At 53.6% G+C, this 25,078-nt stretch overlaps 1 protein-coding gene, 2 long non-coding RNA genes and 1 other non-coding gene across 18 annotated transcripts, besides 7 other annotated features; 1 reads left to right on the forward strand and 3 right to left on the reverse strand.

Annotated features, from left to right (window-relative positions):
• Nucleotides 1-2,138: 2,138 nt before the first annotated feature.
• Nucleotides 2,139-7,841, reverse strand: LOC107986086 (uncharacterized). Its single transcript, XR_001740699.2, has 3 exons — nt 7,654-7,841; nt 4,349-4,412; nt 2,139-2,752 (listed from the first exon to the last, which is right to left on the reverse strand). It is a non-coding gene; the product is annotated as an uncharacterized LOC107986086 (long non-coding RNA).
• Nucleotides 7,234-7,975: an enhancer, noted in NCBI's record as "NANOG-H3K27ac-H3K4me1 hESC enhancer chr3:52321429-52322170 (GRCh37/hg19 assembly coordinates)". NCBI's record gives its function as "activates a minimal SCP1, AML or CMV promoter by ChIP-STARR-seq in primed H9 embryonic stem cells {active_cell/tissue: H9 hESC(primed)}" and the evidence as "EXISTENCE:reporter gene assay evidence [ECO:0000049][PMID:30033119]".
• Nucleotides 7,234-8,480: a biological region, named in NCBI's record as "BRD4-independent group 4 enhancer GRCh37_chr3:52321476-52322675".
• Nucleotides 7,281-8,480: an enhancer, noted in NCBI's record as "BRD4-independent group 4 enhancer chr3:52321476-52322675 (GRCh37/hg19 assembly coordinates)". NCBI's record gives its function as "activates an origin of replication core promoter dependent on BRD2, P300/CBP, MED14 and CDK7 cofactors, and independent of BRD4, by STARR-seq in HCT116 cells {active_cell/tissue: HCT116}" and the evidence as "EXISTENCE:reporter gene assay evidence [ECO:0000049][PMID:35650434]".
• Nucleotides 7,307-7,416: an enhancer, noted in NCBI's record as "active region_19938". NCBI's record gives its function as "activates an Ori minimal core promoter by ATAC-STARR-seq in GM12878 lymphoblastoid cells {active_cell/tissue: GM12878}" and the evidence as "EXISTENCE:reporter gene assay evidence [ECO:0000049][PMID:35858748]".
• GLYCTK (glycerate kinase) lies at nt 7,649-15,078 on the forward strand. Of its 15 annotated transcripts, none has more exons than NR_026701.2 (6): nt 7,649-7,697; nt 10,125-10,540; nt 10,781-10,932; nt 11,568-11,743; nt 12,081-13,013; nt 13,128-15,078. NR_026701.2 is itself a non-coding variant. In XM_047447466.1 (6 exons), the coding sequence occupies exons 2-6, from the start codon at nt 10,164-10,166 to the stop codon at nt 12,953-12,955; spliced, it is 1,104 nt and encodes a 367-aa protein (XP_047303422.1). In that variant the 5' UTR covers nt 7,649-7,697; nt 10,125-10,163; the 3' UTR covers nt 12,956-13,292. The 15 variants fall into 15 exon arrangements, 8 of the variants coding, with proteins under 8 accessions (XP_047303422.1, NP_660305.2, XP_047303421.1 ...); NR_026700.2 differs by lacking the exon at nt 10,125-10,540 and having other exon boundaries at nt 12,081-12,390; nt 12,867-13,013; XM_047447466.1 differs by having other exon boundaries at nt 12,081-12,390; nt 12,867-13,292.
• GLYCTK-AS1 (GLYCTK antisense RNA 1) lies at nt 8,401-9,554 on the reverse strand. Its single transcript, NR_046719.1, has one exon. It is a non-coding gene; the product is annotated as a GLYCTK antisense RNA 1 (long non-coding RNA).
• Nucleotides 10,220-10,720: an enhancer, noted in NCBI's record as "H3K4me1 hESC enhancer chr3:52324415-52324915 (GRCh37/hg19 assembly coordinates)". NCBI's record gives its function as "activates a minimal SCP1, AML or CMV promoter by ChIP-STARR-seq in primed H9 embryonic stem cells {active_cell/tissue: H9 hESC(primed)}" and the evidence as "EXISTENCE:reporter gene assay evidence [ECO:0000049][PMID:30033119]".
• Nucleotides 14,040-14,129, reverse strand: MIR135A1 (microRNA 135a-1). Its single transcript, NR_029677.1, has one exon. It is a non-coding gene; the product is annotated as a microRNA 135a-1 (primary transcript).
• Nucleotides 18,772-19,642: an enhancer, noted in NCBI's record as "H3K27ac-H3K4me1 hESC enhancer chr3:52332967-52333837 (GRCh37/hg19 assembly coordinates)". NCBI's record gives its function as "activates a minimal SCP1, AML or CMV promoter by ChIP-STARR-seq in naive H9 embryonic stem cells {active_cell/tissue: H9 hESC(naive)}" and the evidence as "EXISTENCE:reporter gene assay evidence [ECO:0000049][PMID:30033119]".
• Nucleotides 19,643-20,512: an enhancer, noted in NCBI's record as "H3K4me1 hESC enhancer chr3:52333838-52334707 (GRCh37/hg19 assembly coordinates)". NCBI's record gives its function as "activates a minimal SCP1, AML or CMV promoter by ChIP-STARR-seq in naive H9 embryonic stem cells {active_cell/tissue: H9 hESC(naive)}" and the evidence as "EXISTENCE:reporter gene assay evidence [ECO:0000049][PMID:30033119]".

Below are 25,078 nucleotides of genomic sequence, written 5' to 3' on the forward strand. Positions count from 1 at the left end.
AAACCTGAATAGATGGCAACTTTCCAAACTGCACACAATGGAAGAAAAACCCTCCACGTCCCAGATCACTTGCTCTGCTTCCCTGTAATTCCTGTGCCTTTATTTCAGAAGCTAGAAAGTCTGATACAGCGTCTGCTTCGAATAGTTTAGAAGGCAACAAGGACAGATCGAGTACCATGTTCTAGAACTGTCGGGAAGTGAACACACCCAGTAAGATGATGCCATATTTTGGTCCATGTTAATCTACAAAAATAACCACAGAAACAGCTGTAATCTACTGAATGTTGCCAGCCAAAATAAATCTTTGCAGGGTATTTTTCAAGTATTGTACTTCCTATACCTTTTCCAGATTTCACCGTTAAGACCAAACCTTCCTCCCAAGACTTGACTTTCTGCATTATTTTTGGAATGCAGTCTTTTTTTTTTTCCCCCATTTTTAAGAGGGTCTTCAAATCCTCATCCTGTTTCGCATTCTTACTGTTTCCAATTCCTAGCCTGGCTCCCTGCCCTATTATAGTGGGGCTCTCCTGGCTTCCAGCCCAACAGTATGGTTGCCTTAAAGGATGGACTTTAGGCCAGGTGCGGTGGCACTTTGGGAGGCCGAGGTGGGTAGATCACAAGGTCGGGAGTTCAAAACCAGCCTGGCCAAAATGGTGAAACCCTGTCTCTATTAAAAATACAAAAATTAGCTGGGCACAGTGGCGGGCACCTGTAATCCCAGCTACTTGGGAGGCTGAGGCAGGAGAATCGCTTGAATCCGGGAGGCAGAGGTTGTAGTGAGCCGAGATCACACCACTGCACTGGGCATTAGAGCAAGACTCCGTCTCAAAAAAAAAAAAAAAATGGACTTTAAAAAGTGACACAGAAAGCCGGCTCCAGTGGATGGGTGGATGGAGAGAAAGCTGCAGTCAAGAGTGAATCAGATGGGCTTTAAAAGAGCATCAGACTTAATTTTTTATGTTTCCTTTTATTTGTAGTCATTCTTTTACTTGTCACATATTCATTGCAAAAAAACTAAAAAATACAAATAATAAAAACAGCATCCAGAGATAGCCACTGTTACAATCTTTTATTATAGTGAAATATATATAACACGAAATTTACCATTTTGATGTAGAACCTTTCCGATTTTTTCATATACATATATATATATATATATATTTTTTTTTTTTTTTTTTTTTTTTTTTTCCTGCTCTGTCACCCAGACTGGAGTGCAGTGGCGTGCTCTCAGCTCACTGTAACCTCCATGTCCTGGGTTCAAGTGATTCTCCTGCCTCAGCCTCCTATAGATGCCCGCCACCACGCCCAGCTAATTTTGTATTTTTAGTACAGACGAGGTTTTATCATGTTGGCCTGGCTGGTCTTGAACTGCTGACCTCAGGTGATCTGCCTGCCTCACCATCCCAAAGTGCTGGGATTACAGGCATGAGCCACCACACCCAGCCAATCCCTGAAATATATTTTTATTGGGTTCATAATATATTGTTTGTAAGTTTACCCATACTATGAACATATTCCAGGTCAATAAATATCGATACAATCATTTTGAATGGCTACAAACTATTCTATTATATGGCTGTAAAGTAATTTTGCTTCCCATTTTGTCCAGAGCCCAGCCAGAGCTCAGTATGGATTAATTGAATAAATGAATTTATCCAAAGGATTCCAGATACTTGATTGGCCCACTTATTAAATTTTTCTATTTCATGCTGCACAATTGGAATGGAAACTGTCCTAAACAATGTGTCCTCTTTCCAAAACACAGAGCTCCTTATGAATTCTAATTCTTTGAGATAAATTTCTGAGCTCCAGTGCCCAGCAGCAGGGCTTCCCTAGAGATTGACTAACGTCTTACTCAACCCTTGGAATAACTAGAATCAGGTGACTCTCTTCTTTGGGACAGTTGCATGTGTGTAAGTGTGACAGTGTGTGTGTGTATCAGTGCTTACACAGCCCTCGGAATAACTAGAATCAGGTGACTCTCTTCTTTGGGACAGTTGAGTGTGTGTGTGTGTGAGCTTAATTGCCAAAGAGGAAACGCAGAACACTAGAACACAAAATGCCTGGTGAGGTGTCTGAGCCCCAGCACCAGGAAGTGGTCGCCTCACAGGTTGGCAAAAAATTTACTGACAACAGTATAGGTTTGAAAAAGGAAAATTTCTTAGAAAGAAAGAACGCTGCAGAAGAGTGCAGCGGGGCACCCCAGCGAGAGGACTGAGGGCCTTGGTGGATTTTCCTTAGGTGCATTTATGGACCTTCAGGCAGGAGCTTAGGGTTGTAAAATTAGTTTCAGCATGACATTCCAGAGATGCCTAGAAATTTTAGTTACTTATAAAAGTTGAAAGAGGCCTGGAACCAGATGCCCACTTTAGATACTAGGGAAGTTTAATTACTTCTAATTTCCCCAGATAAGGAGTTTTGCCTCTGGATGGCCTGTTGGATGGTTACCAGGTGGTCTTTGCTCCCTTCTAAATTCCTCAGATAAGGGCCAGGCACAGTGGCTCATGCCTGTAATCCCAGCACTCTGGGAGGCCAAGGTGGGTGAATCACTTGAGGTCAGGAGTTCAAGACCAGCTTGGGCAGCATGGTGAAACTGCGACTCCACCAAAAAATACAAAAATTAGCCAAGCATGGTGGTGTGCGCCTGTAGTCCCAGCTACTCGGGAGGCTGAGGCAGGAGAATTGCTTGAACCCGGGAGGCGGAGGTTGCAGAGCCGAGATCGCACTCCAGCCTGGGCGATAGAGTGAAACTCTGTCTCAAAAAAAAAAGAAAGAAAAAAAATAAATATTACAAGGATGAAGTAAGCCATTTTTATTTAGACAGAATTTAAGTGTGTGCATGGAAAATCTTGTGGGATATACATGAATATGACCAGAAATAATAAATAAATTTAGTTACTAATGTATGTCCACTTCTACTGGAATTCCTCAGAGAGGTCTTGAGACTCCAGGACCGGGGGCCTGGATAAAAAGAAAGTATCTTTCCCTGGCAGCAGGACTAACTACCCAATTTGTAGGGCCCCTTGTTAAAAAATTGCTAAGAATCTCAAGATGACAACAACAGAATATTAAATGAAGTGCAGGGTCCTTCTGACTATACAAGTCACACACCCATGAAGCTGGCTCAACCCAGGACTAGTACAGCAACAACACTGAGCCTTTCTACATGCACTGGAAACATACTGTGATGAAGACTCTGAAGTTCTGAGAGGTTAACTTTCTCAGGGTCACTTAACCAATAAGCACTGAAGTCTGGATTCACACTCTGCTTCAGCACTGGAAAGCTTGTGTTCTGTTTCCAGGGCAAAGGACAAGAAATCATTCACATTTAACAAAGACCACTGTCGGTAAATAATACCTTCTTAGTCTGGAAGGAAAGGATGGAATCTTCCCAGATAAGCCTTGACTGCTCAGAGCCAGAAGGAACTGCCTAGAGTCTCAGGGCCAAGGCCACTGTCTCTAAAACTACAGCACTGTTTCCTAAGGCTTAAAAACTCCCAAACAATCCAACATACACAGCTTTAGTGGCCTCTCATCAGTGCTTGCCTAGAGTCATGCTGAACTGCTTCCTAGTGTTTTGTTTTACTCTCCCCAACTCCTCCTTCCAAGAAAAATAGCTTTAAGATGTTTTATTTTTTTTAATTTTTTTTTTTTTTTTTTTGAGACAGAGTCTCACTCTGTCACCCAGGCTGGAGTGCAGTGGTGTGATCTCAGCTCACTGCAACCTCTACCTCCTGGGTTCAAGCAATTCTCCCACCTCAGCCTTCCGAGTAGCTGGAATTATAGGTGCGTGACACCACATCCGGCTAATTTGTTGTTGTTGTTGTTGTTGTTGTTGTTGTTGTATTTTTAGTAGAAACGGGGTTTTGCCATGTTGGCCAGGCTGGTCTCAAACTCCTGACCTCAAGTGATCCGCTCACCTCGGCCTCCCAGTTTTAAGGTGTTGTACAGCCCTTACATAGGACACAGCTCCACTTTACCCTGCCTCCAACACAGCTGACCTTCCCTCCCACGGAGTAACCCTGCAAGCCCAGGCTGGGCACAGTGGCTTACACCTATAGTCCCAGCACTTTCAGAGGCTGGGGCAGGAGAACTGCTTGAGCCCAGGAGTTTGAGACCAGCTTGGGCAACAAAGCAAGACCCTGTCTCCACAAAAAATTAGCCAGGCATGGTGGTGTGCACCTGTAGTCCCAGCTACTTGAGAGGCTGAGGCAGGAGGATCGCTACAACCCAGGAGGTTGAGGCTATAGTGAGCTGTAATCACCACTGTCCTCCAGCCTGGGCGACAGTGTGAGACTTTGTCTCCTAAAAACAAAAAAAAATTAAAATTAAAAGTACCACTTCTTACCTATCCCAGCAGCTACAGCATTCGGCCCACACAGAAGGCACTCAGGAAATGTCTTGAATTATGTCTGAGGAAGGAATAAATGCATGGAAGGAATATAGCTGACTATAACCAAGAAAAAACAATAAAATTTTCAGTATTTACAACCTCTCCCACATTAAAGAGGGCAATTCCACCTACGGATGCCTTTGTTTTGATGATGTGGTGGGAAATCATTTAGGAGAAGGAATACAAAGTCTCATATTTTAAAAGGAAAAATCCAGGGAGAAGGACGGGTGTGGTGGCTCACACCTGTAATCCCAGCACTTTGGGAGACAGAGGCAGGAAGATGGTTTGAGCGCAGAAGTTTGAGACCAGCCTGGCCAACATGGCAAAACCACTTCTCTACAAAAAATACAAAAAATTAGCTGGGTGTGGTGGTGCACGTCTGTGGTCCCAGCTACTTGGGAGACTGAAGTGGGAGGATCACTTGAGCCTCGGAGGTGGAGGTTGCAATAATCCAAGATGATGGCACTGAACTCCAACCTGGGTGACAGAGTGAGATCCTGTCTCAAATAAAAATATATGTATATATAAGAAAAAGAAAAATCCAGGGAGAGAGCTGGAAGTGGGGGCCAGAGGAAGGGAAAGGTTCATGACAAGAGCACAGCATGGTTTGGAGACCTAAGGAGAGATGTAGCAACTGCCAAAGGGAGCAGGTAGGGGGTGTGAAAAGAAAATAAAATTTTAGGACATTCCCAATTTATAATGTGAAGGAGAAAAGTGAAGCCCTGGAAACTGAGCAGGCATTGCTTTTTTTTTTTCTTCTCTGATGCATGACTGCTGCTTCCTGATCTTTGTATTGAAATGTTATACATTAACCAGGCTCCCTATTCTTCATTCAGACTTAGACTAGATGATGTGGGAGATAGAGACCCTTGTGATTGTTGTCTCTTTACAATAGAATGTTAAGCAAACTCCTTCCAGTATAATCAATAGTAGCCAACCAAATCTTGTATTTATGTTAGCCTTTTTTTGGAAAATGTTGTAATTCTGGTCAGCACTCCTGTTTTTGCCTATATAAACAATCTTTTTTTTTTTTTTTTTTGAGACGGAGTCTCGCTTTGTCACCCAGGCTGGAGGGCAGTCACGCAATCTCGGTTCACTGCAACCTCCCAGGTTCAAGCAATCCTCCTGCCTCAGCCCCACCAGTAGCTGGGATTACAGGCACACACCACCATGCCTAGCTAATTTTTGTATTTTTAGTAGAGACGGGGTTTCGCCATGTTGGCCAGGCTGGTCTTGAACTCCTGACCTCAGGTGATCCACCTGCCTCAGCCTCCCAAAGTGCTAGGATTACAGGTGTGAGCCACTGTGCCCGGCCCATGCCCAGCTAATTTTTGTATTTTTTAGTAGAGATGGGGTTTCACCATATTGGTTAGGCCAGTCTCGAACTCCTGACCTCAAATGATCCCACCTGCCTCAGCCTCCCAAAGTACTGGGATTGCAGGCATGAGCCACTGCACCTGTCCCAAAAACACATTTCTAATGTCAACCTAAAAATCATCAAAAGGTTCGATATCCAGTTAAAAGAATTTATTCAAGCATAAAGTGTGAGGGCAGCCATCCAGGGAAACACAGACACCAAGCAGTGGCAATTAGTGTTCTCCAGCATGGGGAAAGATGAAGGTTGTTTATATAGGCCGGGCGCCTGTAATTGTTTATACGCCTGTAATCCCTGCACTTTGGGAGGCCAAGGGCGGTGGATCACAAGGTCAGGAGTTCGAGACCAGCCTGGCCAACATGGTGAAACTCTGTCTCTACTAAAAATACAAAAATTAGCTGGACGTGGTGGCGGGCGCCTGTAGTCCCAGCTATTCGGGAGGCTGAGGCAGGAGAATTGCTTGAACCTGGGAGGCGGAGGTTGCAGTGAGCCGACATCGTGCCCAGGCTGCAGTGCAGTGGCCGTGAGCTGAGACTGTGCCATTGCAGTCCAGCCTGGGTGACAGAGCAAGACTCCACCTCAAAACCAAGAGAAAGAAATGTGTTTTTGTTTGTTGGTTTTTTTTTGAGACAGGGGCCCAGGTTGGAGTGCAGTGGCGTGATCAAGGTTCACTGCAGCCTCTACCTCCCAGGCTCAGGTGATCCTCCCATCTCAGCCTCCTGAGTAGCTGGGACTACAGGAGCATGCCACCACACCTGGCTCTTTTTTTTTTGGTAGAGATAAGTTTCGCCATGTTCCCAGGCTGGTCTCGCATTCCTAGGCTCAAGCGATCCGCCCACCTTGGCCTCCCCAATGTTGGGATTACAGGCGTGAAACACTGCGCCCTGCCAAGAAACATGTTTCAATAAAATTGTTAGGAAATCAAGTGTGTGATTTGTGATGCAACTCTCTCCTCTATCTCCCTAAGAAAACATCAGTAAAAACAGTGAACTGTTTTGTATTTTTGGAGTCTGATCAGGACTCATCTTATGAATGTGGGAAGGCATCCAGCCAACACAGGGTAGGCCCCGGATGAGAGTAGGGACAGCGAGGTAGGCCCAGAGTCATTAGCGTTTACATGCCGCTTATGTGCTTGAGGATCGCAGAATGGAACTCTTGCTAAGCCAGAGCTGTATTTGGTGGCCCATGGTGGGAGAGGGAAGAACAATAATAAGTTGTGGAATAAAAGCCATGGAGAGGAGCGGGAATTACTTAATCTGGCTCCAGAAGGGGTGAGTTGTGGGGAAGTAGTGATTCTCAGTTCGTTTGCTCAGCCCAGTCAGTGCCTGACACTCAGGGTGCATCTGCTGACTGACCGTACAGGATAAAGGAAGGGAGAGGCCGGGTGCGGCGGCTGAAGTCTGTAATCCCATCACTTTCGGAGGCTGAGGTGGGTGGATCGCTTGAGGTTAGGCGTTCGAGACCAGCCTGGGCAACATGGCGAAAGCCCGTCTCTACTAAAAAATACAAAAATTAGCCCGGAGTGGTGGCACATGCCTGTAATCCCAGCTACTCGGGAGGCTGAGGCATGAGAATCGCTTGAATCCGGGAGGCGGAGGTTGCATTGGGCCGAAACCGCGACTCTGCACTCCAGTCTGGGCGACAGAATGAGACCCCGTCTCAAAAAAAAAATCGGCAATCGGTGAGGCGGGGATTATTACCCTCAATGTAGAGATTTAAAAAATGAGGACTGAAGGTGACTCCTTCCAGGTCTGTCAGTGGCCAGCAAAGAGCCAATATGCTAAACTCTCCCCTCCCGGACACCGGCTTCAGCCAGAGCTCGCACCCGCCTGCGCCGCTCCACCCACCCACACTTCCGGCTTCCGCTCCGCCCACCCCCTAGTACTTCCGTTCTCCAGCGCTGGGCACCGCGGCCGGAGCTGTGGGCTGGTAAGTCTGCGCCGCCAGGGCTCGCATGGCCTTCAGAAGCGGTCCCTGGGCTGGGCGATGACGGGTCCTGGTGGCAGCAGGCCCTTCTTTCTCGCATCACCGGGCATTACGCGGCAGCCATTTCCCTCGCTAAGGCCCTACCTTAGGATGACGTCACTTCCGGCCCCCTACTGTCTAGGGAAAGCCGGAAATGGTACCAGCCTTCTTTGATGGCGGGGAGGAGTCAAGACCGGTAGTCTTCCTATTTCCGTTGTTTTGCTCTGGAGCCTCCCGGAGTTTCGGAGAGACCGTGTCTTGGATAGAATTGGAGGACTTAGCAAATAAAAATGCAAAGCGTCCAGTTACATTTTTTTTGAGTTAGAATCTCACTCTGTCACCCAGGCTGGAGTGCAGTGGCGCGATCTCGGCTCACTGCAACCTCCGCCTCCCCTGTTCAAATGATTCTCATGCCTCAGTCTCCCGAGTAGCTGGGATTACGGGCGCCCACCACACCCGGCTAATTTTTGTATTTTTAGAAGAGACGGGGTTTCACCACGTTGGTCAGGCTGGTCTCGAACTCCTGACCTCAGGTGATGCGCCCGCCTCAGCCTTCCAAAGTGCTGGGATTACAGGCGTGAGCCACTGCGCCGGGCCACGTCCAGTTAAATTTGAGTTAAGATAAACGACGAATAATTGTTAAGTCCTAAACATTGTATGCACATACTTATACTTTAAAAATTACTTGTTTATTTGAAATTCAAATTTAACCGGAAGTCCTGTATTTTCTCTGGCAGCCTTAGCATTGAGCGTCCCCCTGTCCTGTGCTCATACCCAGTGGCAAGGCTGGGATCTTCTAGGCTCTTGTCCATCTGGGAAATAGATACAAATTTCATCCAGGCTATAAAGACCGGCTGTCTTAGTTGCTAAGATGCTTTTAGCTCCAAGTCCAATGGGCAAGCTCCAGGGGTCCCCCTGGCCAAAACTGGACCCATTTTCGGAATCCCCATGACGATGCCCTCTGTGTTCCCTTTCACAACAGAAGTCAGGCATGGCTGTCTTTTCTTACCGGAGAGCTGAGAACTAGGCAAGCAAAATGGTCAAAGTCTAGAAGTAACCACCATATTTGGGTGTGGGGTAAACCGGTGTTTGAGATCTGTGTTGCAGTGGACAGTATCAGAGAGCCTGAGGTTGTTAAGGGAAGAGCGTAGTGTTAATCTCACCCCATGTCTCATTTTGCGGATGAGGCCCAGTGAGAGAAATGGAGGTGTCCCAGCCACTCAGAAAGCCTATAGTAGAGCTGGAACCTCAATTCCCAGCCTCCTTACCCTGCTCAGTCCATACTTGCTGATGAAGTCAGCTTGCAACATTTATGGTAGGCATTTATTAAAGTAGATGCAATAGTACATATGTAGTACAGATGAGCTGTTTGGGTCTTTGTTGTTCCTATACCCCTCTACAGCTTCCTGACCTTCGCCCCAAGGCTTCTTTAGCTTTTACTCTGCCCAGTGGGGAAAATGGCTATGGGCTCAGTTATGGGAGCCTGGCCTTTGCCTACTTCAGCCCTTGGGCTCTCACCACTGTGGGTGGTGTGACCTAGGACTTGTTTTTGTTATCTTGGAACCAGAAGGCGTGTTCTTGGCAGGGTTGGGTCTGGCCAACTGTGTGGGTAGAAGGGCATCCTTTTCTGTCCTGCAATTGGGCTTCATGGCACATGGCCTCACATGGTGCCTGGGGACTTTTCTAAGGTTCCACCATGAGCCAGACTTTGCCCTCACTCCTGATTTGAACCTAAACCTCTTGCTGAACTGGTCCTGCATACTGAGATTCCTCAGATTGCTTGCCCTGAGGATGTGTTCTGGGTTTGACCTGATAAACCTGCAGCCTCCTATAGACCCTGACTTCCCAGGCTCCTAATCCCAGTCTCATGAGATAATGAAATAGAGAAGACTGGAGGTCAATGGGCTCAGGGTCAGTTGGTGGGACAATCAACAGCTTCCTGGCAGCAGAGGTGGTAAAGAGGCAAGGAAGGAGTGCCAGAAAGGGGCGTTGCCCCAGGGTAACAGCGCAGAAGTGCAGGGGGTGGAAAAGGGGTGGGATGGGAGCCCACTGGTAGAAATTACTCCCTCTGTCAATGATTAACTCCCAGCCAAAGGGGTGACCTGGGAGGAGGGCCCAGCTAATAGGAACTTTGGACTTGAGGCAGAGTATCCAGAGGGCCGGCATGTGGTCTGCAGAAGAGGAGGACGTGGCTGGGTGGCAGGGCTGGTCTCCAAGGACGAGTAAGATCCTGCAGCTGCAGGCTTCAGGAAGTCTCCTGGGGCTATCAGATGGCTCCTTCTTGTAGCAGCAGCTGTGGGGTCCACTGGCCCTGAGCCCTCAGAGGGGCGGCCGTGGGGGACCTCCTGTCTTTTGCCTTGCAAGGGCCTCAGTTGTGCTTTTTCCCTCTAGGCAGCCATGGGTGCCAGGCAGTGCTGAGAGCAGTGGGGCATGGCTGCAGCCCTGCAGGTCCTGCCCCGCTTGGCCCGAGCCCCCTTGCATCCACTCCTCTGGCGGGGCTCAGTGGCCCGTCTGGCCAGCAGCATGGCCTTGGCAGAGCAGGCCAGGCAGCTGTTTGAGAGTGCTGTAGGTGCAGTGCTGCCGGGCCCCATGCTGCACCGGGCACTATCCTTGGACCCTGGTGGCAGACAGCTGAAGGTGCGGGACCGGAACTTTCAGCTGAGGCAAAACCTCTACCTGGTGGGCTTTGGCAAGGCTGTGCTGGGTATGGCAGCTGCAGCTGAGGAACTACTGGGCCAGCATCTTGTGCAGGGCGTGATCAGCGTTCCCAAGGGGATCCGTGCTGCCATGGAGCGTGCCGGCAAGCAGTAAGGAGCCATGGGGGCCTGCCTCCCTCTATCTATCTGGAGGGAAACCTGGGCCCAGACACAGGCTGAATCGGGCCTCCCCTCCCCACCCGCTTCCCATTTCTCCTGGATCTGGCCTGGCCCCAGGATGCATGTCAGTGGGCATCTTCGTTCATGCCCCCATCACCTGTAAAGTTGAGAGATCAGGTGGGAGGAGAGGAGTCCACCCCATCTCTTGCGTGCTGACCTTTCCCTCCCCAGGGAGATGCTGCTGAAGCCACATAGCCGTGTCCAGGTATTCGAGGGTGCGGAGGACAACCTCCCGGACCGCGATGCGCTGCGGGCTGCACTGGCCATCCAGCAACTGGCTGAGGGACTCACAGCTGATGACCTGCTGCTCGTGCTGATCTCAGGTGTGGTACCACATTGGCCCAAGACTGTTGGTGGGGGGTGCACCACCTGATCTCTCAGGTCTTCGAGAGATCAGGTCTGAGCCCCCGGGGTCACAGGGTAAAGTTAGGAGCAAGGGAGGTGGTGAGGAGCCTGGATGGTGACTCCTGGGTTGCCTTGGGCTAGTCGTCTGGCCTCCCCTGAGCTGTGGAGTCCTCCCCCTGAGCTGACCTTTTCGGTGACAGTGAGAGGGTGCATGGGGAGCACATAATGCAGGGCCTGACACATCCGTAGAGTCCTTGGAAAATGTCACTGCTATTGCTGCTGTCTGTACTAATGTCACCTGGGGCTAGGCCCTCAGACCTCATGGAGTCCTCTCCTTGATCTTCCATTGTGTGCCCCCTGCCCTGCCTCCTGTTCTAGTCTCTTAAGGAGTAGTTAGTTCTTCCGGTGCCTACTGGGACCTGGGGTACCCCAAGGCAGGGGCAACCTCAGGTGGCCAGGATGTGGTGACTGTACACATATTGCATATCCACAGGGGGGCACCCTAACCCCACCTTTCCAGCCCCCTTTTTCTAATGTGGGCTTGTCACCCCTGCTTGCCTGGTTCCCTGGGTTGGGATAGCCCCTCTACCTGATACCCTCATTGTCTTGAGAGGTGGGGGTTCAGCTCTGCTGCCTGCCCCCATCCCACCTGTCACACTGGAGGAGAAGCAGACACTCACTAGACTGCTGGCAGCCCGTGGAGCCACCATCCAGGAGTTGAACACCATTCGGAAGGCCCTGTCCCAGCTCAAGGGTGGGGGGCTGGCTCAGGCCGCCTACCCTGCCCAGGTATGAGTCCCTTCTTCCCCAGGCAACCTTGGGTTGGTGGAGCCAGGCCCACATGTGCCAGGGATGTGAAAGCTAGAACAGCATATAGATTGGCAGGGGCATGGTGTGAAAGACCATGGGGCCGGCTGGGTGACATCATGGGAGGGGTGCCAGAGACGGGGAGGAGGTGCCTGCATGACCAGGTGTTTTGCAAGCCCACGTGAGAGGAGTTAACCATGGGTAAGGAAATGCACTGAGTTGGGGGAGGGTGTGTGGATACCCTAGGGGCAGTTTGTCCTTATGGGCTCTGAGGGGAGGAGGAAGTGGGCCTGAGCCTTGTCTGGTGGCCCTTCCCCAGGTGGTGAGCCTCATCCTGTCAGATGTGGTGGGGGACCCTGTGGAGGTGATTGCCAGTGGCCCCACCGTGGCCAGTTCCCACAATGTGCAAGATTGCCTGCATATCCTCAATCGCTACGGCCTCCGTGCAGCCCTGCCACGTTCTGTGAAGACTGTGCTGTCTCGGGCCGACTCTGACCCCCATGGGCCACACACCTGTGGCCATGTCCTGAATGTGATCATTGGCTCTAATGTGCTGGCGCTAGCTGAGGCCCAGCGGCAGGCCGAGGCACTGGGCTACCAGGCTGTGGTGCTGAGTGCAGCCATGCAAGGTGATGTAAAAAGTATGGCCCAGTTCTACGGGCTGCTGGCCCATGTGGCTAGAACCCGCCTCACCCCATCCATGGCTGGGGCTTCTGTGGAGGAAGATGCACAGCTCCATGAGCTGGCAGCTGAGCTTCAGATCCCAGACCTGCAGCTGGAGGAGGCTCTGGAGACCATGGCATGGGGAAGGGGCCCAGTCTGCCTGCTGGCTGGTGGCGAGCCCACAGTACAGCTGCAGGGCTCGGGCAGGGGTGGCCGGAACCAGGAACTGGCCCTGCGTGTTGGAGCAGAGTTGAGAAGGTGGCCGCTGGGGCCGATAGATGTGCTGTTTTTGAGCGGTGGCACCGATGGGCAGGATGGGCCCACAGAGGCTGCTGGGGCCTGGGTCACACCTGAGCTTGCCAGCCAGGCTGCAGCTGAGGGCCTGGACATAGCCACCTTCCTAGCCCACAATGACTCACATACCTTCTTCTGCTGCCTCCAGGGTGGGGCACACCTGCTGCACACAGGGATGACAGGTACCAATGTCATGGACACCCACCTCTTGTTCCTGCGGCCTCGGTGATGGCATAGGTCACATTTTGGGAGTTCAGAGGAGGCCTACAAGGGCAAGGTCAGATGGCAGAGCAAGGTTGGTCCTCAGGGCCTCTCTAAGCCTTAGGGCCCCTCCTCTCCTTGGCCTTGGCTGTTTGGTTAACTGTCACCTTCCACTCAGGGCCTCTGCTCTATATCTATTCCCTTCCAGCCAGACTGGCAGATGGGGGCTTCCCCCTACCCCTGAGGATGAGGACAAGCCCCTCGGCCAGTTCAGCGTTCCCGTGCTTCTCCCTTGGGCAGCCTCTCTCTTGAGCCCCTCACCCTGTTTCTTTCTGTGAAGCGAGAATGTCTGAAAATAAATAGGACCATGCCATGGGTTCTCAGTGCGCCTTCCCTCAGAGTGAGGCCTCACGGGGGAGCCGCTGGGAGGGGAGCGTGGTACGGCTGCAGCCACAGTACCAGGGCCTGGCAGGACTCTTAACACCCCTCTACTGGGCTGGGTACGTGCAGGATGTGCCTCGCATAACGGGAGCCTGTGCCCATCCCTCTGGAGTGTGTGAGGGTTGAGCTTGGCTCCTGACAGCTTTGATGTGCGTGAGCAGAGACCCCAGGGAGGACAGGCCTAAAGACTGCAGTCTGGGGTGACCAGCCACCCACCCACCCAACCATGACTCCACCATGGCACTGTCACCATGGCTTCTCCAGCCTCAGCTTGTAGGCCTCGTTGGATGGATGTCCTTTCTGTCTTTGGACAGCCCTTAGCCACATACTGCACTTCTGGTTGAGCTGAAGTTTGTCCCACCCCCCAGTGCTGTTTCCTTGTGACAGCCCTTGTCCTAGGCTGAACATCCCTAGTTCCTTCAGCCACTCCTCTGGGGACCAAGTCCAGACCCTGAAGTCAGCCCTTCAGTGGGGGTCCCAGCACTGGGATGGTGGGTCCAGCCAGTGATGAGGTCCAGTGACCCACACCTCTTCCTGTGACCACTGGCGGGAGAAGAGGCAAGTGGGAATAGAGGAACGGCTGTGTTGGCCTGGCCAGCAGCCTGGGTTGAGAGAGGGAGGTGCCACTGTCCTGCCTCCTTTTGAGCCCCCTTGCTCAGTGTCAGAACCCTCCGCTGGCTGTCCCCGCCGTGCGCCACGGCTCCAATCCCTATATGAGTGAGCAGTAGAATCACATAGGAATAAAAAGCCATAGAGAACAGCGAGGCCTGGGGCTGCTCTTGCAGGCACTTCTTCCACCCCAACCCTCCCCTCCTCCCTGAGGGTGTGGAGGGGCCCTGGGCCAGGGCTGGCAGGACTTTCCCCTGGGAAGGGTTTCCCTTCCCCACCTGGGCTCTGGGCAGCCTAGCTTGCAGACAGTTCATGACCTGGGGGCCTGGCTCACACAGGGCAGGCTGGAGATTGGGAGGGAGGTAAACGTGGTAAGCGGGCTCTGGGGACCAGGGAGGTTTAGGAAAAGGGGAGCTTGCACCCCACTGGGATGCGCAGGCACCGCTTCCTTTCCTTCTGTGCTGGCATGGAGTTCCTGCTGACTAGGGTCACAGTCTCTGGGGTTATGGTGATCCTCGCATGATCCTGTGCCGTGGTGCTCCTCTGGCAGCGTCTACATGTAGCCTGTTCCTGCCTCAGTCCTTGCTCTTGGGAGCATGAGTATTGGCACTGGGTTCCAAGTTCCAGGCAAAAGCAGGATAGGAGAGCTGGGGCAGGGGCTGCAGGAGCTGAGGGCCTGGCAGCCATGTCCCCAGTGTGTGTGTGGGTGGTAGGTGTGTGAGTATACAGACGTTGGTGTTGGCGTACTCAGAGTGGGAATGCATCTCTGAGTGTACACATAGATACTTAGTACAGGGCACATGACTCCCTGCATCCCTGCTGAGGGCTTTGGGTATGGATAGGATCTTGCAGGAGGTTCCCCCTGCTCTACATTGACCCCTTCCCTATACTTCTGTTTGTAGGGGCTGGGAGGCCAGGGCCCGGATTGGACCCCATAGGGCCAAATGGTCTGTGAGCCTAACCCGTTAGATTTGCTCACTGGATACCCCAGAGATAAGAAAGGATGTATTTGGCCACAGTCTAAATGCTGAGATGAGAAAACCCTGCACAGTGAATGTTTTGATAGGATTCATTACTTGCTCCATAAATGTCAATTTTGGATCATTGAAGTGCCCGTCCCTTGCTCTTGGCTTCTGTTTCTTCCGGCTGCTGCTGCCCTCGTGCCCACCTCATCGTCATTTTCTGAAGCTTCCCCTGGCCCAGCTGGAGGATTTCACCATGGAGGGTGTCTGGCCCTGCTGGCTATAGCAACCCTCACAGGCCTCTCCATTCTCTGCACTTGGCATGAGCCAAGAGCAGTGGGGCAGTGGGCCTGGGCAGCCCTTCAGTGTCAGCTAGTCCCAAGCGTTTGATTTATAGTTGGAGATTCAGAGAGAGAAGGTGGCTTACTGGGGACTGTACAGTCCCACATAAGGGCCACAGAACCAGGGTAAGAACCTAGTTGGAACCTGCTTGACTATCCTCTGCCACTCTCTGGGGCTCAGATACCCTGGGGCCAAGCAAGGGCTCAGCCAGATCCAGGGGATCTACTTCTGCTTCCCCACTGCCCCTCAAGGGCTTGGGATGGCGACACAACCATGCTTGGCCTCTCCAGGGATCCACACAGCAGATGTGTTGGAACCTTCTTGTCTCAGAGGGACAGCTCCATTGTGTGTGTGATTTGGCAGAAAACCATGCGCAGTTGAGTGGTGGGCTTCTACATAAATGTGTGTCTGCATCTGTATGCACATCTGTGTGTGTGTGCATGTGTGCGTGTGCATGAATATATGTATAAGCATGTGTATGTGTAGTGCAGCCCACAGCCAGTCTCTGAGCTCTGCTGTGCCCCATCCCAGGGTGGAGACACACAGGTGTAGTTAGAGTGTAGGGGATACAATGAGCAAGTTGGGCAAGAAGGCCCAGAAGACTGGCAGAGGCTAGTGTGCCTGGCCGAGGGAGTTGACTTCACATTGACATCAGTGGCAAACCTCATGAAGATTTTGGCAGGGAATAATGTCATGAAGCTGTTTTGGGACTTTAATGCTGAGAGCCAGCTTCCTTACAGCAGAGGGCGGGGGTTGGGGGCATGCAAGGAGATGGAAGGGGTTGCAGATAGGAGAGGTGCATTACCAGGCTCTGAGACCCTCTCCCACCTCCCCTATGCAGCCTCAGCTCCAAAGCCTTTAGCCAGCCCAGGGAACCCTTTAGATGCCTGCTTTGGAACCAAGGCCGAAAGCCCTGGCTCAAACACTGTTGGGAGTAACTGAGCCCATCTGTCTCTGGGAATGCCTCAGGGTGTTGAGGATTTGTGGGGGCAGAGGCTGGGCAGCTAGTGGACAGTTTGGTGGGCATAGGGACCCCACTCATGTAGGATCTCACGAGGGTGGCATTTAAGTGGCTTGGAAGGAGCACTGGAGTAGGAGTCAGGTGGTAAGTCCGAGTCCTGGCCTTCCCACCTTCCTTTCTCCAGGCCTGTTTTCTCATCTGTTTAATGGGGAAAACATCCTTGCCCTATCATCTCTTTAGGAAGGTATCAGCGGCAGGTGGATCTGTGCGGGAAAGCTCTGTGGAAGTGGGGAGCTCAGGGAGGGAGAGAAAGAAGGTAGAGGTGTTGGCCTCTTCCAAGGGGAATCTCAGGGAGCTCTTGGCTCAGGGAGGCCCTCTTCTCCCATGGTAGGACCAGAGTTAGAGCCAGCGGGACCTTGGCGCTCACTGACTGAGGCTGAGTGAGCAACCTGCTGGCCTCTGGCACTAGGCAGGCACCAGCAGGGAATGGTATCTGAGTCTTTAATGGCCAGTAGGGTGTACAGTGCCCTGGGAGATCACGGAGCTGATGGATGATCGCCTGGAGTCAGAGTGAGCTGAGCCGCCTGGAAGAGAGCCCCCTAATGTCTCTGGAAAATGGGTAGGGCAACCTGCCTCCCTCTGGGTCTGGGTCATGTGCGAGGGGCATGATGAGGCCCAGACTGAGGTGAGGGAGGACTGGCTTAACCCCAGGCCAGAATCCGTAGCTAGGTAAGAGGATTTGGGATATGCTAGGGGAAGGGAGGGGGTATGCAGGGGTGGGGGACACACACACCCTGGATGATAGGGAAGCCAATGACCTAGGCAGGCTGCCACATCAGCTATAGGACCATGGGGCTGTCGTGAGCTGTGCCCAGCCCAGGAGAGATGGGCTTTCTCCCCAAGGCTGTGGGCCAGACATCTCCCCAGTAACCGCTAGGGCCAGTTCTGAGGCTTTGCTCTCCACTTCCCCTGACTCAGCTGGTTTGTAGTGGCTGGAGGAGGGTGGGCTGGGGGTGGACACTCAGCCTGGCACCAGCTCGTGCCCACAGCTCTGATTCCACCTCTCTAGACATGCTGCTTCCATCCGGGGGTTTCTAGGGGGCAGGGGTGGGAGCAGGTGCAGCTGTCGCCTTGCTCAGATGAGGAAGTTCTAGCCAAGGGAAGAGGGCAAAACAGTTGGCCCCTGGAACAAGTGCCCCATCTGCCCAGTCCTATGAGGCCACTGCCCTTAGCAGCTCCGCCTCATGGGACCACTACTCACCAGGATTTGGCCCACCACTGCCTCCTTGGGGAGCCAGGGAGCTGTAGGACTTGGCTGTGCCCCAACCAGAGAGCCAGAGGCTAGACCCCCAAAATGCATCCCATTGAGAAGGTCTTCCCTGGTGTCCCTTCACGTCTGGGCTGGCCTTTTCTTTTCCTCCACTAGCAGCCAGCAGAGCCGCCCTGCCCACCTCCCTGGAAAGGTGTGAGCCATACATTTCTCCAGCCCTGCCTCTCCATCCCCGCTACCAGCCGAGAAGGGGGTGGGGCCCTTGGCACTTGGCTTCTGCCCCTTCAGATCATTCCCACCCACCTGCACAGCTTTAGAGTCTCAAGATCTCCTTGTGGCCCTTGGTTGTCTCCAAAAATCACACTTGTAGCCTCATTGGAGCCAGGCCTCTGTCTCCACCTGCTTTCCCCACCCCTATCCACAGAGCCCCCGTTCCTCCCTGTCCAGCCCAGTTCCAGGAAGCTGACTGCAGGAATATCTAGGCTCTGGGTTGAAACCCTGCTGTTTGCAACTCTGGGCAAAGCTCTTCTAGGGATGCTGTCTGGAGGGAGCTGGTCAAAGACCCCTAGGGGAGGGAGAAGTGCCTGTCTTTACCATGTGGGTCTATGGGTCTGGGGATCAGTAGCTTGGAGTAAAACCTGTGAGCCTATGGCAGGGGGAAGATCTCTCCCTCCACTCAGACTCTCCACCTGGGCAGTGGGAGTAGCCCCAGCACATTCCAGCCAGCCGCCAACCCCCCTGCTAGCACAGGCACTTGTGAGGGTCACAGTCCCCTGGACGGTGCCGCTGCTGGCACCCAGCAACCCCATAGCAGCAGCCCAGTCAGAGTCAGGGTCAGAGCCCTGGACTCCAGGACTGGGCATACACTGTTCCAGGCAGCCCAGCCCCCGCCCACCCTCTCAGGTCCCCCTGAGGGTCTCTCTCAGCCCAGGGCCACCCACAGAAGCCAGGCACCCAGGCAGGAACGGAGCCTGCCAGCTCCCGGCCAGCCTTGTCCCTCTCGGCTAACTGGCCACCCCTCTGCCTCCCACTCCTGCTGACCCCCGGGGGACCTGAAGCTGGCAGTCCACTGCTGCTCCCCACTGCCTGGGGCAGAGAAGCATTCTCCCCATCTGCCTGCCCCCCAGGGCTCCGGCCACCCCATGCCTGTGTCCCCAGATCCCCAAGGCTCACCTCAGTGGCGCTGTCTCCTCACCAGAGGCACTGCAGTGTGGGAACTGTCCCGAGGAGCTGGTTCTCAGCTGAAACAAAGAGGTGGGGGAGAAAGGGGGGGCAGCGGGAGAGGGAGAGGGTGAGTGAGCGGGCGAAGGAGTGGAGGCTGGAGGGGGAAGAGAAGGGAGAGGATGAGAGAGAAGAGGAGAGGGGAGGGGAGAACAACGAGCCTGCCGCCCACCGAGAGATAAAGCCTGACACCCAGGGACTAAAGGGCCAGTAGAGGAGGGGAGAGGAAATGGGGAGGGGGCAGGGGAGGTGAGGGGCCAGACTGAGAGTGGGGAGACTGTTAGAGGGGCGGGAGAGCAGGGACAGGGTGAGGAGGTAGAGGGCAAGTGAGGGGCGTGGGCAGGAGAGGAGCAGGGTGAAAGGCAGGTTGCAGGGGGCTGGTGGCTGATGGCTGAGCTGGGCAGAGGGGCCCCACCCCGTCCCATGCCAGGCTCTGGACTCAGGGGAGACCAGTAGGACTTGAATGGCAGAAGGCCATGCATGAAGGGGACTGGCAGGGAGGGGAACCTGCCAGCCGTTGGGTAAGGGGCTGGGCTGGTGGGCTGGCTGGGAGGACTGCGGCCAGTGGCAAGGCAACAAAGACGTGAAAAGAAACAACGGCATCTGAATGGAGGAATCGGCTTCTGCTGACCCCTGGGTGCCCCAGCCCTGAGCATCCCAGCCAGAGCTTCCTGGAGTGGGGGTGGGGGGCAGATACACTCTGGGGCGGTCCAGGCTCTGAAGTGGCGGCCTGAGGTGGAGAGGAGAGGACATGGGCTGTGAGGCCAGGCAGGGGTCCCAGTCATTCTTTGAGGGCTCAGAACAACCGGGACACACACCATGATTGACCACACATGAGGATGCTGGTGTCACTGTCTTTTCGGGAAGGGGATGGTTGATGGGGCCTATCCTGTGACTGAGAACTGGGTAGGGGAAGCCCCCTCTTAGGGAGAGTGTGTGCCCTGCCTCCATCCCAGGGAGGAGGGCAGGGTAGGGAGCACAGGGAGGGAGGAGAGAAGTGGGGATCAAAGAGGTAGGGAAGCAGGGGAGAGAGAGCGGGTGGGGGGAAGGAGGCTGCAAGGGGTGGGCACGGAGCTGCAAGACCGCCGAACCAGAGGCTCCCACTCCACACCCCACAATTCTCAGGCTGCCTAATGCCGAGCTAATGAAGGATGAAATAATGAGCCACTTCCCTGCTGCTGCCCTCCTGCTGCCAAGTGCTGCTGTGACAGGCAAGGGCACTGCCTGGGGAAGTCAGCTCGGTGAGTCTGTGTGAGCGTTCGTTCACTGGGAGGGAGGACAGGATGGCCTTGAGCAGGGCCGTCCCAACCCTCTCACCCCACCAGGCACAGCCCCCGGGCCAGTTCAGCCTCCTCTTACACTCAAAGGCACAGAAGTTCCAGCCACCCTCCCACACCTTGTGACCAAGGGAAGTTCCCTTTCTTATCTCAGACTCCCAGAGCACGTTATTTGGAGAGTAGGAGAAGGGGAGGGAGCGAGGGCTTGCCTAAAGCTGTGACAGGGAGACTCCCAGAGAGTCAGCCCCTGAGTGCCACCCTCCATACAAGGGTCAGAGGTGTGTGCCCCTTAGACCCTGCCTCCCCAAGCCGTTATCACCACCTCAGGGAATCCCTCCTGGCCCCACCCAGCAGGGGTACAGTGACTTGGCTGCCACTTGTCCAGCTGTCTCTTCTTATAGCCTAGAGCTCGGAGAAGGGAAAGGACCTTCCTTCCTTCTTTCTTTCCTTATTCTTCTTTATTTTTTATTTATAAATGATTTCAAACTTACAGAAAAGTTGCCAGAATAGTGATAGTACAAAAGACACACGTGCTCTTTTGGGGATATGTTCAACTACTGTGAATATTGTGCTCCGTTTGCTCTGTGTGTGTGTGTGTGTGTGTGTGTGTGTGTGTGTGTGTGTGTGTATAGACATACATATTTTCTTTCTTACTCATTTGAGTAAGTTGCAGACATTTGAAAGGATTGCTTCCTATCTGTCTCTGTCTCTGGAGCCAGCCCACGGGATCCCAGACCACATTATGTGGAATGAATGAAGGCCTGGGACAGGCAAGGAATGAGCAGATGTCACCTACTGGGAGCTTGAGATCTGGGGACTGACCAAGGCCACCTTAGGAATTGGGCCAGCCCAGGGCTTGAGGTGGGGTAGGGGGCTGTGCTGGGCCTGGGGTCCTGGGAAGCAAGTGAGCAAGCGGGGAGGGAGCCATTGCCCACCAAAGCGAGCATGTGGTGTTTCCCGGGTGTGGAGCTGCAGCATATGTTTGTGGAGATGGTGGCAGGCAGGCAGGCGGGGTGGAGCTGGGAGAGCGGGATGGCCGTGCTGTGGCACCTGGCACACTTGGGAGACTGTGTGCTGTTGGGCCCTAAGTGATATGAGAGGACCCAGCTGTTGGAGGCCCCAGCCCCACCACCTGCCTTTGGGACTCTCCCTACAGCTCCGTGAGGACAGGGCAGGGATGGAGTCCACCTGACCAGCTGGTCTGTGCTGATCTGCTCGGAAGGGGCATGATGGGGCTCCAGCCCTACTGAGGCTTCCATACCGGTCCCTGACACAGGGCTGCGTTCTTTCTGCACCCCCAGTACCCCCAAGTAGGTTGGAGTCCCATCCGGAGACCCTCCTTCAGATGGCTGTTCTCATTCCTCCCAACTCCCACCCAAAGGTCATGGTTAAGAATTTTGGTATTGGCCGGGCGCAGTGGCTCACGCCTGTAATCCCAGCACTTTGGGAGGCCGAGGCAGGCGGATCACGAGGTCAGGAGATTGAGACCATCCTGGTTAACATGGAGAAACCCTGTCTCTACTAAAAATACAAAAAAAAAAAAAGCTGAGTGTGATGGCGTGCGTCTGTAGTCCCAGCTACTTGGGAGGCTGAGGCAGGAGAATGGCGTGAACTCGGGAGGCAAAGCTTGCAGTGAGCCGAGATCATGCCACTGCACTCCAGCCTGGGTGACAAGGCAAGACTCTGTCTCAAAAAAAAAAAAAAAGAATTTTGGTATTTAGGCCAGACTTGGTGGCTCATGCCTGTAATCCTAGCACTTTTGGAGGCTGAGGCCAGTGGATTGCTTGAGGTTAGGAGTTTGGGACCAGCCTGGGGAACATGGTGAGACCCCTGTCTCTACAAAAAATACAAAAATTAGGCGGGTGTGATCATGTGCACCTGTAGTCCCAGCTACTCGGGAGGCTGAGGTGGGAGGATCACCAGAGCCCAGGAGAGTGAGGCTGCAGTGAGCCACGATTGTGCCACTGCACTCCAGCCTGGGCAACAGAGTAAGACTGTCTCAAAAAAAAAAAAAAAAAAAAAAAGTTTGGTATTATTTAGAAATCACACCTTGGAGATGACCTGAGTTCTAATGCAGTGATATTCTCTCTCCCTTGTAAGTGAAGTCCCCCTCCTTCAGAAAGCCCTCCAGACCTCCTCAGAGCATCCCTCCTCAGATGCCTTCCTGGAAATGCCAGCCTTGTTTGTCCTTTTGCTAGTTTACTTGGGTGCTATGCCTAGGAACTGGGGCTCTGCTCAGTCATCAGCCATTTTTCCTCCTGCTGCCCCAGGTCAGGCACATAACTGGCATCCATAGATGACTGAACACTGGGCTCCTCTGGTGTCCCCGTGCCCAGTATGTCTGAAAGGCCACAGGCCCTGGGCTGGCTGAGGGGAAGGACAGCAAGGGGGCCCACATCAAAAGAGGAAAGGGCTTATTCAAGACCACCAGCCTGTCGAGGTCAAGTCAGGCCTTTGACCTGGGTCTCTGACCACTTGGTCAACGCCTTCTGCATCCTCCCCTGCAGCACAGGCACACCAGTCTTGGGCTGTGGTCAGGGGCCCTCGCTGACGCCCACTGGATGACCCCAGGGAGGGGCGGGCCCCCACCCTCCTCTATTACCTCCAGCCCACCCAAGTGAAGCCCAGGGGACACCAGTGCCCATCCCCCTGAAGAGATTTCAGCCAATTAGCACGTACAGTATTTACTTAATTAGGGTAATGACATAATTAGTGTAACTCGGGCTCCATCACATGGCTTCAACATGCAATTAGGAGCTGTCAGCGGGAGGCGACATTGTGAGAGCGCTCATTCAATTTTGGTTCCAGCATGGAGGCCTAGCAGCTGCCTCTGCTTGGAGGGAGGGAGATGGGTGGATGGTGGCGGCTGCTGTGTGTGTGAGGTGACTGCAGGCAGCCCATAGCCTAGGAGAGAAGAGTAAGTGGGGACAGAAAGGCAGTTTCCTGGGCTAATGGAGTCCCTGACTGAGCCTACTCACATCCTCAACAGACATTGCCACCCTTGACCCCAGCCCCAGGGCAAGGCAGAGGCGGTGGCTTGGCTGGAGTGTCTGCGATTAGGGGGCTGAGCACTGCAGGCTCCTCTGCCCCCAAGTTCTCTGCCTGAAATGCCACCATTAGCAGGCTGTCTTGTCTCTCTTTAGGGCTTTGCTGTTCATAAGAGCCACCATCTGATACCCACTGGCCAGTAGGCTATTCTTCGTGGCCCCAGGAGGCCACAGACTGGCAGGACTGGGATGATCCCTGTTATCCTCATTGGATTCATGGGGAAAGTGGGGCTTAGGTCAAGGAAGGTGGTAGAGCCAGTCATGGCAGTGCCAACCCCAAGAGGGAGCCTGTTATGGCTGGAGACTCCCCAAGCCTGGGCATATTCCCCCTCACCCCCAAGGAGGTCTCCTGCCCAATGGCCTCTTTCCCTTGGAAGGAGTGGGGCTGCCTTTGGAGTTACTGAGGTGGTCCCCAGGCTCCTGGCTCCCTCAGCCTTTCCTCCACCTTATACAGGGCTAGGAGGCAGAGCCCTGACTCTGTCCACAGCCTTCCCCTCGGTGAACCTCAGCGAACCTCACAGCTTTCTTGAGTGGGGGCCATTGTGGGGAGGAAGGGAAGAAAGGAAGATGGGAGTCAGTGCCACCATTGTGCGGGTAGGGAAACTGAGGCTCCAGGGCCTTCAAGGAGGTGCTGTTAGAACCGATATCAGCCCCTAGCAACCCTACTTCTGGCCCAGCAGGATGACCTGGGCTGAACTTCTCCCTTGGGTCTGTTTCCTCTTGTCAAAGGAGAGAGTTTACACTGCATGATCTCAGACATCCTGGGCCTATCCAGAGCCCCCTGGGAGGTGGGACCCAAGGAACTTGCCATCCCTCTTCCCTCCTTCCAGATTATGTCCTCAGAGCTGTCCCTTCCCTTTGTGACCTGCCCCTTTCTGGGTTAGCCCCATTGCATAAATGAAACAGATGAAGGTCCCTGGCTGCAGAGAAGGGAATCCATTTCCTAGGCCCTGTGATCTCACTTGATCCCTGTGCTCAGCCTGCAGTGCTGGAACCACAGCCTTCTTAGAGGCTAGACTGGTGTTTAAAACCCCTCAACTCCCTGCTTCCACCTCAATAGCAATTCAGGTGAAGTCACCAATGCTAGGTTTACAACGCACTTCATGCTTCCATCTCATGGGCGTCACCTACATCCTGCTAAATGACAACAATGTCTCTGCCTCTTAGGTGGATAAACCAAGGCAGCAAGACCCAGTAAAGGACAGCACCAAGTCCCAAACCCCGGCTTTGGTCCTTGCAGGTTAGTGACTCCCCTCACACTGAGCGTCCTCAAGTCTGTCCTGCCCTGACCGCATGGCTCTAGATCTAGGATCCAGGGTGGGAGGGGCTCTGATGAGACCAGGGTTCAGCCAGCTGGGAATACTGCTGGTAAGATCGGGTACCACTGAGTGGGAAGGTCTGGGATGACACCCAGAGTCCAGGCCTTCTAGATGGGAGACAGAGATTCTCCAGTTCAGAAGGGCAGAGGGTCTAGCCTGGACAAAGGGAATTGCCAGTCAGAACTGTCTCCAGGGGCCTAGCCCCTCAGGCAGGGCACAGGTGGGGTGGGCGCACAGATGGCTGGTGGGCAGCTCTGGTTACAGGCAATAGTCACAACAAGACTAAAATCCCCTTATTTCTATGAACGCTGGGGCATAAGCTGTGAGATGGCACAGTGAAGATCCACTGGCAGAGGCCAGTGCTGCCAGGAGGAGAGAGGAGCCCACTCTCACCTCTCAGAGGAGGTGGGGGCTGTGGCCAGAGGGCCAGAAGGTCCTGAGCACCAAGCCATCTGGCCTGGTGCCCCTGGACTTTTCAGCCTCAGGAAAGAGGCCCTTTCAAGCCAAGGAGGTGAGGACTAGCACAGGAGGGGAGCCTGAGGCCAAGGAAGAAATGGCATAGCCATAGTCATAGGGGAATGCTGGCTGGTGGGAGGATCCTGAATTGTCTGTGTTAGGACTGGTCCTCCTGGGGCTGGGTAGAGCTGGAGGCAGCCTCTCTTCACTTGGGCTAGCTGCCTAGGCTCATACTCAGACCTGGCCACATCCTC

Source organism: Homo sapiens, chromosome 3 (assembly GCF_000001405.40).
Source record: "Homo sapiens chromosome 3, GRCh38.p14 Primary Assembly".
In the NCBI taxonomy this organism is placed as follows: domain Eukaryota; kingdom Metazoa; phylum Chordata; class Mammalia; order Primates; family Hominidae; genus Homo; species Homo sapiens.

Bases quoted from the DNA above. Each gene is read 5' to 3' on its own strand.
- GLYCTK (NM_145262.4), top strand. From the start codon at position 10,164: ATGGCTGCAGCCCTGCAGGTCCTGCCCCGCTTGGCCCGAGCCCCCTTG. The intron at 10,541-10,780 runs GTAAGGAGCCAT...TTCCCTCCCCAG, and splicing joins ATGGAGCGTGCCGGCAAGCA to GGAGATGCTGCTGAAGCCAC. The intron at 11,744-12,080 runs GTATGAGTCCCT...GCCCTTCCCCAG, and splicing joins AGGCCGCCTACCCTGCCCAG to GTGGTGAGCCTCATCCTGTC.